A 14,353-nucleotide genomic window follows, 5' to 3' on the forward strand; every position below is an offset into this window, starting at 1 on the left:
TCCTGCCTCAGCCTCCTGAGTAGCTGGGATTACAGGGGCCCGCCACCACGCCCAGCTAATTTTTTGTATTTTTAGTAGAGATGGGGCTTCACCATGTTGGCCAGGCTGGTCTCGAACTCCTGACCTCAGGTGATCCACCCACCTCGGCCTCCCAAAGTGCTGGGATTACAGGTGTCAGCCACTGCACCCAGCCTTTTTTTTTGAGGAATTTCACTTCCGTCGTCCAGTCTGGAGTACAGTGGCGCACTCTCAGCTCACTACGACCTTCGCCCCCAGATTCAAGCAATTCTCATGCCTCAGCCTCCTGAGTAACTGGGATTACAGGTATGCACCACCACGCCTGGCTTTTTTTTGCATTTCTAGCAGAGACAAGGTTTCACCACATTGGCCAGGCTGGTCTCGAACTCCTGTCCTCAAGTGATCTGCCCACCTGGGGCTCCCAAAGTGCTGGGATTACAGGCACTGAGCCACGGCGCCCGGCCTGCACCTGCACATTTACACAGTCATTCCTGGGTAACATAAATGTCAAGTCCCCTGGGACACTGACAGCATCTCAGGGTTGACGTGTGACAACACCTCACGTCATGGCAAGTACTTAAATGTGCATCTTAGAATTCTTGTTAAGAATGAGCTTCCACAGATCCACACTTCTGCGTCTCCCTTTTCTGACAATTACCTTATGTCTCAGGCTGCAAAATACCCAAAAGAAAGATTGACACGCCACGATCACTCTGCATAACATCCAGACACATCTAAGGAGCACTTTCTTCCAAGGCAAAACCACCTCACATCTGTGTAGTACTTTTATCTTCCGAAAACATTTTCATATTCCCCTCCCAATCAGACTCTCACAACGATGCCTCCATCTGGGAGGGGAACTGAGGCATGTTACCGAGGGCTGAGCTTGGCCTGATGCCTCAGAGCTGTGCCGCTTCTCAAAAGAACACAGACAGGCCGGGCGCAGTGGCTCATGCCTGTAATCCCAGCACTTTGGGAGGCCAAGGCGGGCAGATCACCTGAGGTCAGGAGTTGGAAACCAGCCTGGCCAACATGATAAAATCCTGTCTCTACTAAATACAAAAATTAGCCAGGACTGGTGGCGTGCACGTGCAATTCCAGCCACTCGGGAGGCTGAGGCAGGAGAATCACTTGAACCCGGGAGGCAGAGGTTGCAGTGAGCCGAGATCGCACCACTGCACTCCAGCCTGGGTGACAAGAGCAAAGCTCCGTCTTAAAAAAAAAAAAAAAAAAAAAAAGAACACAGCCTCCCACCTCATATTTCCTGACACGGGGCCTCAGGATGGCACTAACGGTTCCCTCACCCAGGGAGGTAGAAGGACTTGGACACAAGACGGCAGAGACTTCTTAACTGGATTGATTGGGAATGACTGCCCAGAGCACAGCGTGGAGAAGGCGCTCGGCCCCCGCCCAGGCAGGCAGAGCACCATGATGGGTTCACGATGCCCTATGCCAGGGTCGTGGGTGACAGGTGTGTTTGCCATCTCTAAGCCGGGTGTGCTTCTCCTGCCTTTTGAGAGCTGGAGCTGAGAGGCACAGGCCCTTTCTGGCAATGACCCGGGCTGCCCGATGCCCAGCCAGAAGCAGACCAGCTGCAGACTCTGTCCACAGGGAGGGACGGGTACGGTCCCCTTTCCTCTCCAACTCCAAAAGCAGCTTCAGAGCATGACATCACCCAACACGGGCGGGGGGACCGGAAGGCCCCAGAGCAGGGACTGTACTCACCAGCAACAGGGCTTCCAGCTGGTTAATGTAGATCTCTTCGCTGGCCAAGAACCCCGAGAGAACCAGCTTCCTCATCTCCAGGCCTTTCCCTGCTTCCACCTGCACAAACGCAAAGCACAGCCAACAGCTCATGAGCAAGGAGGCCAAAACCCTGCGTGGACGGTCTGCTTCCCTGCCCTTCCCCCCCGACCTTTATTTTTTTTTTGAGACGAAGTCTCGCTCTGTCACCTAGGCTGAAGTAAAGTGGCACAATCTCGGCTCACTGCAACCTCCGCCTCCCGGGTTCCAGTGATTCCCCTGCCTCAGCCTCCCGAGTAGCTGGGATTACAGGCACCTGCCACCATGCCCAGATAATTTTTGTATTTTTAGTAGAGATGGGGTTTCACCATGTTGGCCAGGCTGATATAGAACTCCTGACCTCAGGTGATCCACCCACCTCAGCCTCCCAAAGTGCTGGGATTACAGGTGTGAGCCACCATGCCCAGCCATTATGCCAGACTAATTTTTTTTGTATTTTTAGTAGAGATGGGGTTTCACCATGTTGGCCAGGCTGGTATAGAACTCCTGACCTCAGGTGATCCGTCCGCCTCAGCCTCCCAAAGTGCTGGGATTACAGGCGTGAGCCACCGCGCCCGGCCCCCCTTTCCCCTTTCCTTTTATTTTAAGCGACACTTTCATAGGGGATAAAAGTCAGATATTATTATAAAAAATATACAAAACATGCAGAAATATAAAAGGAAAAGACAATCACCCATATTCCTCCTGTAACATCTCGTTTTGCTTCCCTCAATCTATTTTCCACCTGGGTTCTCGAACCGACTTTTCCTCCCTCTCTTCCTCTCCTCCTGCCTGTCCCACACACCAGAGCTGGATTCAACTCCTAAGAGTGCCACCTTGCCCGATGCTTGCCAAGGACCGAGTATGAATACCGCAAAACGCGAGTACTTGGGGATTCCACTGGGCTATGTGTCCATTTATTTATTCATTCAATAAATATTTACTGAATGTCCACCAGGCCCTATAGATACCATGGGAAACAGACAGTGGCCCCTGTTCTCAAGTGGCTTAGACTCTAGTGGGAAAGACATTTATTTTTTCTTTTTTTTTTTTTTTTAGAGACGGAGTCTCGCTCTGTCGCCCAGGCTAGAGTGCAGTGGCGCGATCTCGGCTCACTGCAAGCTCCGCCTCCCGGGTTCACGCCATTCTCCTGCCTCAGCCTCCCGAGTAGCTGGGACTACAGGCTCCCGCCACCACGCCCAGCTAACTTTTTGTATTTTTAGTAGAGCCGGGATTTCACCGTGTTAGCCAGGATGGTCTCGATCTCCTGACCTCGTGATCCGCCCGCCTTGGCCTCCCAAAGTGCTGGGATTACAGGTGTGAGCCACCGCACCCTGCCGGAAAGACATTTAAAAAACAAGTAAAGATTCGGCCCTAGACTGGGACATGGGGCCCACCATATCCTTTATGAGCCACCTGCAGTGGCCCGGATGCCCGTCCCTACCCTTCCAGTCTTTCCCACAGCCAGGACATCGCTCAGTCTCCCCCACACGCAGGAGAACCAGCCTCCTCATCTTCAAAGGTCTCTAGCTTTCGGTTCGTTCTTTACCTGCTGCCTAAAATGCCATCTTTCCCTGAGGCATCGTGGCCACAGAAGGGGAGTGAGAGGGCCGGGGAGACAGGGTAGTGGTGAGGGACTGCTTGGAAGATGCTACACTGGTAGGTTTGAAGACAGAGGATGGGGCCACGAGCTAAGGAATGCAGAGAGCCTTTGGAAGCTGGAAATGGCAATAAAATGAACTCACTCCCCTAGAGCAGGGGCTTCCGATCTTTTGGCTCCCCTGAGCCACACTGGAAGAAGACGACTGTCTTGGGCCACACATAAAATACAATAACACTAACGACAGCAGATGAACTAAAAGAAAAATATATAATGTTTTAAGAGTTTACAAATTTGTGTCGGGCCACATTCAAAGCAGTCCTGGGCCGTATGGCCGCAGGCTGGAAAAGCTTGCCCTAGAGCTTCCAGAAGCAATGCAGCCCTGGAGATCCTTTTTATTTTAATTAATCTATTTATTTATGTATTTACTTATTGAGACAAAGTCTCCCTCTGTCGCCCAGGGCTGGAGTGCAATGGCATGATCTCAGCTCACTGCAACCTCTGCCTCCCAGGTTCAAGCGATTCTCCTGCCTCAGCCTCCCGAGTACCTGGGATTACAGGCGTCCACCATCACACCCACTAATTTTTGTATTTTTAGTAGAGATGGGGTTTCACCATGTTGGCCAGGCTCGTCTCAAACTCCTGACCTCAGGTGATGCGCCCGCCTCGGCCTCCCAAAGTGCTGGGATTACAGGTGTGAGCCATGGAGCCGGGCCGAGATCCTTTTTAGATTTCTGTATAAGAGAATAAATTTGTGTGGTTTTAAGCCCTTAAGTTTGTGGCGATTTGTTTCAGCAGCATTAGAAAAGCAAGACAGACCCCACGCTTCAGGCAAGGGCAATAGTTACTTATTGGCGGCTTCACAAATTCCAGGAACTGAGCTTAGCTATCTTTGTGGTTCAATTCACCGGAGTCTCAAAACCTGGCAGGTGTTATCATCTTCCTGAGGCACCGAGAGTCGGGACTGCCAGAGGCCTGCACAGCCTCCAGCACACGTAGCCCCGGGGGACAAGATCAGAGCCTGGAACAGCCCCCAGCTCCAGCCCCTCCAGGTCAGACCCTCAGGGGTCTTCCTGCTGCTTCCCAGCCTTGACAAATGGGAACTCATCCCCTGTGCTGGGGGCTAGCACTCCCTCCTGTTCCCTGCCAACCAAGGTTTTGCCTGAGGGTTTAGCAAATGCCACACCGTGAGCTGTAACTGTAGAGCTGGTTGGACTAGGATGGGGGGAAGAAAGGGATTTGCAGCCCCAGCCACAAACAAGCTTCATCCCCCCTGGCACGAGCATAGACCCTGGAAGCCCTGTAATCGCCCATTTCTGCAAGATCCTCCCCTCAAGACTTCCATTCATAGTCCACTCTTGAAAGGCTGGTTCTGATGGGAAGACAACTCAGGAAGACCCTCCCTCAAGAGGCAACAGTCAGCCCCAAGAGTCCTGCTCTGGGCCCCGTTCACGCTGCAGTTTTGGCTGAGATTGGAGCAAAGGCGTTGGAGAGCGTACGGATGGGAAATTAGCCTCGGTGCACTTGGCTAACAGGAGACCCGTTGCTCAGTCACCACCAAAGGAAGGCCTGTTCCATCTCCCATCTTTTCCAGCTTTCCTCAGACTCCACAATTCCCAGTTTAGAGCCATGAGGAAATTCACATTGTTTCTTCAGTCTTTGCAGGGCGTCTCTTGTCTCATCAAAAACCAGGCTCACCACTCACTCACCCATTCCCACCGGGAGCCAGGCACTGGGAATACGAAGGTGAAGGAGAGGTGCCCACGTGCCTAGAATGCTCCGGAGCGAGTTCTCTAAAGAGTTCCAGGTCCCACAGCCTCTGCCACGCTGCCTACCTGTCTCCAGCACCGGGAAGCTGCCTGTCCTCACTTCCTCCCAGCCAGAACTTGTGAAATGCAGTCCTGGTGGGTTCGTTTATCCTCAGCATCCTGCACAATCTGCTAGGCTGACAGTGTGGCAGCTTGAAGCCGCCAAACCAAAGACGTCAGGTCACTCTGGTAGGAACAATGTCTAGAGATAAGGCGTGGCCAGCTCAGGCCTGGTCCTCCACAGAGTTGAGAGGCTAAATAAAGCCTCCAAACATCTGGTTCCAGGCCAAGCAAAGACACAATCTCTCCAGTAGCACTGGCCTCCAAGACAACAAGCAGGGCTGGCTCTCTGGCTGCGACTCAAGGCTATAGGGCATGCAGCGAGGGTCTGAGGCTTCACAGACGGTAGAAGTCAGTTCACGGGCCACAGCTGGCTGCCAGGAGTACCCAGCAGGATCTGCTCAGAGTAGATGCCACTGGGCCTGGGGGTGGGGGTGGCCGTGCCTGGGGCTTATACCCACACCAAGCATCAACCTCAGGACAACTGGCCCATCTCAGTCTCAGGACAGCTGAGGCAGTGTAGAGGCATCGAGAGACCCTCTCCTCTCCCAGCGCTAGGCGCTGAGGAAGTCTCTTTCAGCTGCTTCCTTGGCAGAATTTAGAACAGAGAAGACGGGTCAACTGCTGGGGGACAAAGACCAAATTCCAGTGGCCCCTCTCTCCTGAAGGGTGGATCCCCGTATTCTGGGCTCCCTATTGCTGTCTGAGGTCTTAGGCAGGCACCATAGGGCACAGGCAATGTTTTGAAACTTTGGTTGTTCATATCCCACCCTTAAAATTTTGCCATACTCACATACCACCACCTGCACTATTCTTTACTCAATATTGTTCTTTACAGTAACTTTTTTTTTTTTTTTTTTTTTTTGAGACAGAGTCTCACTGTGTCACCCAGGCTGGAGTGCAGTGGCAGGATCTTGGCTCACTGCAACCTCCATCTCCCGGGTTCAAGTGATTCTCCTGCTTCAGCCTCCTGAGTAGTTGGGATTACAGGTGCACGCCACCACGCCCAGATACTTTTTGTGTTTTTAGTAGAGACAGGGTTTCACCATGTTGGCCAGGCTGGTCTTGAACTCCTGACCTCATGATCCACCGCGCCCAGTCTCCCAAAGTGCTGGGATTACAGGCATGAGCCACTGCGCCCAAGAACTGACTTGTAAAAAGCAGTCTTACCCTACACGTATTTGAAATCGTAAGAAAAATGTACAGGTCATATTTTTTCTAATATATATTAAAATATATACTTAACCATTAAAATGCAAAATATAGATCGAGGTGCCACCGATCATTTCTCAAATCACCACGTGGGGCCCGCACTTAGAAAAACATCCAAATGGGGGATACAGGCATGATGTGCAGGCACAAGAGACCTGGGCAGGTGAAACAGAAATAGAGATGTTTCAGATGATCCATTAAAAACTGGCACAGAATTGGGCTGGGCTCAGTGGCTCACTCCTGTAATCCCAGCACTTTGGGAGGCCAAGAGGGGCAGATTGCTTGAGCCCAGGAGTTACAGACTAGCATGGGCAACATGGTGAAACCCTGTCTCTACAAAAATATAAAAATTAGCCCAACGTGGTGGCATGTGCCTGTAGTGAGGGGGAGGCTGAGGTGGGAGGACTGATTGAGTCTGGGAGGTGGAGGCCACAGAGAGCCATGATTGTGCCATCGCACTCCAGCCTGGGTGACAGAGTGAGACTCTGTCTCAAAAGAAAAAAAAAAATGGCACAGAATGATACCTAAAGGGTTAATCTGCATTACAAAAGGGTTTTTATTCCTGACAAATAAGTTCCTTAAAATAGCACCTTCTACAACGCCCCCGTCACAACCCTACCTATCTTTAAATAGAATGGCATGAAACATTTTTGGCAAGTGTAAGCCATTTTACAAATGCAACATGACGCTGCTATCAGTATTTTATTTGCATTACCAGTTTTACAGATCAATAACTCTTCAAAGGTAAGTCTGGGCTGAGATATGCAGCAAACTCCAGCTATAGCTTTGGAGAAAACTGCAGCCAACTTTACCTCTGCCCCCCAGGAAGATGAAGCGTCTTGGAAATGACACTGGAAACAGGATTGATTTATGGGCCTGGCACTTGGGCACATGCTCACAACGCAACTGCTGCTTAAGGTAAGTACCCCTAAAGTAAAGTAATAGCAAAGAGAATTGCCTTGGATTCCTACTAGCTGCCAGGGAAGGGTGTGCCAAGAACCTCTGCAGCCCAGGACAGGAGTGTATCATCCAGAAATGACCCTTGGCCTGCACACACACACACATGCACGCATCCAGGCCATCCCCAACTCCACTAGAAGTGGTCCCTTCTCCCCTGAATTTGGTGCCCTTTTATCAGTACTCTTCTCACAGTCTTTTTTTTTTTTTTTTTTTTGAGACTGAGTCTCACCCTGTCGCCCAGGCTGGAATGCAGTGGCATGATCTTGGCTCGCTGCAACCTCTGCCTCCCAGGTTCAAGCGATTCTCCTGCCTCAGCCTCCTGAGTAGCTGGGATTACAGACGCCCACCACTACGCCCGGCTAATTTTTGTATTTTTAGTAGAGATGTGGTTTCACTATATTGGTCAGGCTGATCTCGAACTCCTGACCTCAGGTGATCCGCCCACCTCAGCCTCCCAAAGTGCTGGGAATACAGGCGTGTGCCACCGCATCTGGCCCACCCTGCCTACTTCCGTACTCTATTCCTACTCCCTGTACCTGCCCCTTGCTCTGAACGCCTTGTGAGGGAAGATCACGCCTTGTTCCTCTTGTCATCTCTACAGTGCCAGGCAGGGTGCTCTGAAGAGCACCTAACCTGAGAGTGTTTGTTGAATGAATCCAGGAGCTTTCTTCCCACCGCTCTGTGGCCACCTGCTTGTCTTCTCCCTCTGAGGCCAATGCCGGTAGAGGAGGGAGGAATTCTAGAGGTGTTCAGGATGGAGCAGGGAGCCTGGAACTCCCCGGCATTCGAGAAAGGTCTCCTTCCCCCATGCTGGCAGCAAAGTAGAGGGGAAGACACCATCCCGGTGCTCACGGGGACCCAGGAGGAGCAGCGTTTTCAGGTGTGACACGTGCTCAGGCTCTCTTGGCATCCGTGGGCCACCGCCGTACACAGCAGGACACCTCTGAGATGGAGCGAGGCTGGGAACCTGGTGCACCCTTCGTGGGCCCCAGCGGGCCTCACACATTGTGCAGACTCTCACAGGCACCAGCCCCACACCAAGCACTGTGCAGTGTTCAGCAATGAATATGACATGGTCCTGGTCCTCCAGGAGAATGGGATATAATTGCGGAGGCAAATGTCTAGAGTTCTGAGCATCTGAGCAGAATGAAATACGGGCTTAGCTGAGGCATACGCCGGGGTCCAGCAGAAGGGGAGGTCCAGGAGGCAGCCTCTGAGTGGGCCCACATCTGTGCTGGGGGCTTCCCAGAGGAGGCCCATGAGGGCCACACACCTCCCATCCCAGCATTGCTACTCCCAGCCTGACTCCTGGCTCAGGAGCAGACTTTCCCACCCTGTTCCTAGTGGGGAGGCTGGTCAGACCCTAAGTGCAGAGGCCTCCCTGAGCCCACGGGGAGACGTGACTTACCCCCACGGCCCTACGCCAGCACCAGATCAGAGAAGACAGGGTGGGGTGCCAGCCACTGCCAGCCTCCCTACAGCTCCACTCCCCACCCAGGCCTGCAGCCACCGCTCCACCCATACTCACACATCAGCCATCTCCCGTGGTTCTGCATCTATTTTTACCTCCATTGGCTCCTCCTCAGAGCCACACTGTAGAGTGGGTGGGGCAGGACTGTGATCCCCATCTTCTGTGAGGGGCAGGGAGGCCCAGAGAGGTTCAGGGACAGCCTCCCGTCCCCAGCAATGCTGGCTGCACATGCCTTCTAGGCCCCGCCGATGGGCACTCGGTTAGGCAGCCTCGCCTAGCAGTCTGCAAACTCCCCGAAACGCATCCTCACTGGGCCTCCCTTCTCGACACAGAACCAGAGAGCAGCTGAGCAAAAGGCTGAGGTGGAAGCTCTGAGAGGTGTGTCCAGGAGAGAAAAAGGAAGACCGCTGTGGTGTGCCGGGCCAGACTCACAGAGCCGGCGTGGTTCCGGGGCCGCCCCGCTCCTCAAGGGATTCTGGCCACCACTGCCCTCCAGTTCCACCGGGAGCCAACCTCTCCTACAGGACGGGTCACTGCTGCAGAGAACGCCGTCAGCCCCAGAGCGGGTGGGCCAGGGCCCAGCAGATGCTCCCTGCCTGTCCCGCCTCGGGAAGGGCACCTGCCCACCTGGCTGCAGCCTCCAAGCCAGCTGTTCCCTCCCCCCTTCAGCTGACCCAGTGCTTTTCCTTCAAGGAAGCTCAGTGACCTCTGGCTCTTGCCCTTTGCAAACACCCTCTTGCCTCAGCTCGGAGACACCAAGTCCCTGTCTCCTGGCTGGGAAGAGGGTGGCCCCTCTCTTGCGGTTGCCGTGGAAACGGGGGATTCCTGCCCACCCGCTCCAGGGAGGCGGCGAGGCTCGGGCTGACAGGCGCGCCAGGTGACTCCTGGCACAGCCGCCGGAGCCCTGAGCTGGGCTGGCCTGGAGGGGGCGGCCACCACTGCCCCGAGGACACCGGTCGGGGAGGCAGGCCCGCCCCTCTCCCCCGGGAACAGCTGCCGGGGCCGGGACCCTCCGCCGAGGGCTTCCACCCGGCCGCGCGCTCTGCGCCCGCATCAGCCATTTCTCCCGCGCACCTTCGGCAGCGCCGGCCCGGCCCCCCCCAGCGCCCAGGGCGTGTCACGCTCCCACCTTCACAGCCACCAGGAAGGGGGACCCTGAGCCGGGGCTGGTCGGGGTTCCCAGCTCGCACTCCTCCAGGAGAAACACATCTTCGTCCTCCAGAACCTTGTCCAGCAAGCCTATCGCCTCCTCTTCCTCCTCCATGGCAGCCGGAGCCCGCGGAGGGCAGACAGGAAGCGGGGTCCACGCAGCGGCGGCGGGAGGAGGGAGGAGGGAGGAGGCGGGCGGGAGGGGGGGCAGGTCTACACCCGCGCGCCCGGCCTGGGGCTCCCGACCCGGGACTGCATCCCGGACCTAGTCCAGCCCGCTCCGCCGCCGCCGCCGCCGCCTCGCGCGTCCTCGCCCGGCGAAAGGGGGAGCAAGGCCCGGGCAGCCCCTGACGCCGTGCCCGGCCCGTGGCGGAGGCGAACCCGCCGCACAGCAGCCCAGCGCCCTCCTCCGTGTCCCGCCCGGCCCCGCAGGGCCCGCCCTTCCCGGGCTCCGGGGCTCGGGCTCGCGCTCGCTCCGAACACACAGGAAACGCGCGTCGCGAGGTGGAGCCGCCCGTCCTCTGGGGTTGCGGGGCCGCGGCTGGCGGAGGCTTCTGCGGCGGAGGAGGAGCGAGGAGGCCGCGGCCGGGCCGGGGTGGGGTGGAGCGGGGAGGCCGCTTCCCAGACGCATCTTCATTCCCCGCGCGCGGCCGAGCCAGGAGCCCGGCGAGCAGGGGCGACCCCCAGAGCCACCCCGGAGTCCCCATGCGCCGGAGCCCCCTTCCGGAGGGGAGGCCCCGGCCCGCCCAGAAGCCACAGCCGCGTCCCGCCGCCGCTGGAGGAGTCAGGCTTTGCAACAGACAGGCCTGACCTGCCCCCAGGCAGGAGCGCGGCGCCACCACTGTCCTGCACAGGAGCGGTGGGCGTCCCACTCACAGGGACCAGGATCCCCCTCCTCCAAGCAGCCCCCCTCCTCCGAGCAGTCCCCCCACTCACGGACGCTACTGACACCAGCACCCCCACCTCCTCTGAGCAGCCCCCCCACTCACAGACCAGCCCCCCTACTCACAGGCGCTGCAGAGACCAGGACCCCCACCTCCTCTGAGCAGCCTCCCACCTACTCACAGGCACTGCTGAGACCAGCACCCCCACCTCCTCCAAGCAGCCCCCCCAGCCACCCCACCGCAGGGAGCCATCCTGCAAGGGGAGTGCACACAGAACCCAGGACAGGCACCATCTCCGGCCCTGCCCACTCCCAGCCAGCTTCCCCTGGCTTCTCCAATGGTTGCAGAACCCCCAACTGTGCAGGGAGTGAGGCCACATTCTGGTCCCCCTGGCCCTAGTTCCCAGATGCACATACACCTCCTTCCATGGGAGGAGGAGTCCAGAGGAGGCCCTGGGAAAAGCTCTTTTACAACCCAACGATGGAGCAAAGGTTGCAAACGGCACCCATGAGGGTGCGGGTGAGGCCTGCGGGTGAGGCCAGCCGGTGAAGCGAGCCAGGTAGGGCAGGGTGAAACCACCACTCACTCCAGCCGATGGCTGCTGGAGGAAACGCAAGCTCATGGCTGCCTGATCTCTGTTCAAAATAAGCTAAAATCTGGCTTATTAACAGGAATGCTCCTGATTTTAAAACGATGGCAAATAATTAACATTTTAAAACAACATGGTGCCGTCTAAATGAACCACACCTGTGGCCCGAGTTCAGGCCACAGCCCCCCACTCCCCCCAGAATTCTTCAGAAGCTCTGGGCTCTAGGTGGGGCTCATGCAATTCCATTGGCAGCAGAGAAGCTGCCCTCCCTGGAGAGAGGCTCCATCCTGTTGCAGAGCTGAAATACAGAGCAGGGGATTGCGGGGTGAGCCCTTGAGGGGCCCCAGGGCTAACAGCCTTTGATCAGGGAACTGTGCCACCAGGGTTCAACAGAGGCACACCCCCACCCCACCCATCTCCTTCCAGCCCCTGGTTTTCCCCTGTCCCTGCCTGGGTGGGTTATAAATAGCCAGGGCGCATCTGAAGGGCCCTTTCAGCCACAATTCCTCATTTGGTGCGGGCGGGTGAGGCTGTGGCGAGGGCTTGGGAACGACCAGGCCTGGCATTCCCCAGGGCACAAGTATGCCAGCTCAGGGCCTGGTACCACGGGTTCTTCTGTCTCCCGCCCGGCGGGCTCCAAGTGCATGGCATGGGCTGCCCACATGAGTCAGACCTGCAGGTGACACGAAGAAGGGCCTAAAACCCCACAGGCCCCTGCTGTGTTCCTTCCTCCACTCAAGAGGACATGAGGTGCCCTTGGAAGTCTGCCAGGATATCCTCGTCCCCGTTCCCCACACCTCTACACGGCATGGTGAGACTGACGCCCACTTCTTCCCAAAATCCCTGAACCCCACACAAGTGACTCCCTGAGTATCCAGGGCCTCTCTACTCCACCCTGTCCCCGGTGGCTGGAAATTCCAGTGAGTAATGAGAGTGCCCCTCCATCAGACACAGACTCCACTCACAGGCCCTCGGTGCCCCCCTGGAGGGGAAGTGACTCACCAGTCCCCACAGCTTCCCTCCCCTTCCCTGACAAATGCCCTGAGCCAGCCCTGGACCTGAGCTCCACACTCCATCTGCCTCGGCCTGGCTCCTAATGTTCTCCATAGAAGCAGCCTGCTTCAAAGGCCCCCCCAAACGGTTTATTCCAAAGCCAGAGGCCTCCCTCTCCGACTCTTTGGCCTCTGCAGTCTAGAGTTTCTCCAAGCCCTCAGCTGCCCTGTTGATGCAGGCACTGCCCCGACCACTCTCTGGTGTAGGCTGGCCCTTCATTCTCCCGCCTCCTGTAAATGTGGAGTCACTTGCTTGGGCCCAGCCTCAGCCCTCTGCTCCCTTCCCCCAGAGAAGCAGCCCTTCTCCCTTCCAGGCCAGTGGTGGCCCGCTGCCAGCTGCAGCCCTGGTGTCTTGCTGGGCTCTAGGTCTAGCACCTGCCCCGGCCACTGGGTCTCCTCACTTGGAAGCCCAGCCACGGCCCTTCCACTCCACACATCTGGACCAAAGGACCCTTCCTCCTTCTGAAACAGCTTCCCCTTCCGGGTTTCCACTTCTGTTAGTGCGGCCGCCATCTTACGAGTCTTCCTTCCCTCAACCCCCACATCCCTTTTACCAAGTCCTTCGGTTCTTCTTTTCCTTTGCCAAAGCCACCACCCCACCAAGCTTTAGAGCCTCTTACACCCACACGACCACACGTACTTCCCCACTTTGGCTCCTGATCTTGTCTGTCCATCTGTCTGTTCATTCATTCATTCATACCCAGAAAAGGCCTGGCATGGCACACATACGAGGCTGGGAGACGGGGCCCTTGCCGTTCTCAGGCTCTCGATCCGTCTGGGGTGAGGACGTGTGAACACACGAGGCAGTGTTCTCGTTTACCAGCCACCCTGGGGATGGAGGACAGTGGCACTAACGCTGCCTGAGAGTGAAAGCTTCACAGGACAGTGGCTTCTGAGTAGCATCTGGAAATAGGGAAGGGTTTCCAGGCAAAGAAGAGAAGGCCCGAAAGGAAAGGGTTAAGCAGCTTCAGCAACCCGGTTGCAGTGGCGCACCTGAAATCTCAGGTACTCAGGAGGCTGAGGTGGGAGGATCGTTTGAGCTCAAGAGTTGGAGGCTGCAATGAGCTATGATCGCACCACTGCACTCCAGCCTGGGCAACAGAGCCAGACTCTGTCTTGAGGGAGGGAGGGAGGGAGGAAGGAAGGAAGGAAGAGAGGAAGGAAGGCAGGTTAAGAAGCGCTGCTTGCTAGAGGACAGAAGATGAACTTGGAGAAGTGGGCTGAACAGCATCATGGAGGGTGAGGGGCATAAGCACACACCACACCTAGCTACTGTTTGAAATCTTTCGCAGCCACTGAGATTTCTGACACCATCAAGTCTAAATCTCAGTCTCCAATGGTTGACTCCCCACAGTCTTCCCCCACACCCACCCTCCATTCCCTCCTTCCCTGACCCAATCAGCAAGCATTTGTTAACGCCTGACCCAATCAGCAAGCATTTGTTAACGCCTGACCCAATCAGCAAGCATTTGTTAACCACCTGACCCAATCAGCAAGCATTTGTTAACGCCTGACCCAATCAGCAAGCAGTTGTTAACCGCCTGACCCAATCAGCAAGCATTTGTTAGCCGCCTGCTGTGCACCAGGCAGTGTGCTAGCATCGGAATGCAGCCATGGACAGGGAACCCCGTGCCTACCCTCGCGGAGCTGACAGTCTCAGGGACAGATTGACCTGGTGACTGACTCCCAAGGCAGTGTCAAGGGAGGGGCAAGGCCGTACTGGGGAGGGGAGCAGTGTCAGAACTCTGCAGCTGAGGTGCCACTTTTC

General features: G+C 56.2%; 1 protein-coding gene across 5 annotated transcripts in view; it reads right to left on the bottom strand.

Moving 5' to 3' along the window:
- ABR (ABR activator of RhoGEF and GTPase) overlaps positions 1-14,353 on the bottom strand; it is a 226,204-nt gene that overhangs the window by 95,375 nt on the left and 116,476 nt on the right. For 4 of the 5 annotated variants that reach the window (NM_001322841.2, NM_001159746.3, NM_021962.5 and 1 more), the window contains exon 3: positions 1,744-1,842. In NM_001322841.2, coding sequence (NP_001309770.1) covers positions 1,744-1,842 — 99 coding nt within the window. Of the gene's footprint in view, positions 1-1,743; positions 1,843-10,040; positions 10,210-14,353 lie in introns of those variants that run through there. The other variant, NM_001092.5, reaches the window with a different exon arrangement.

Source organism: Homo sapiens, chromosome 17 (genome assembly GCF_000001405.40).
Source record: "Homo sapiens chromosome 17, GRCh38.p14 Primary Assembly".
NCBI classification, from domain to species: Eukaryota; Metazoa; Chordata; class Mammalia; order Primates; family Hominidae; genus Homo; species Homo sapiens.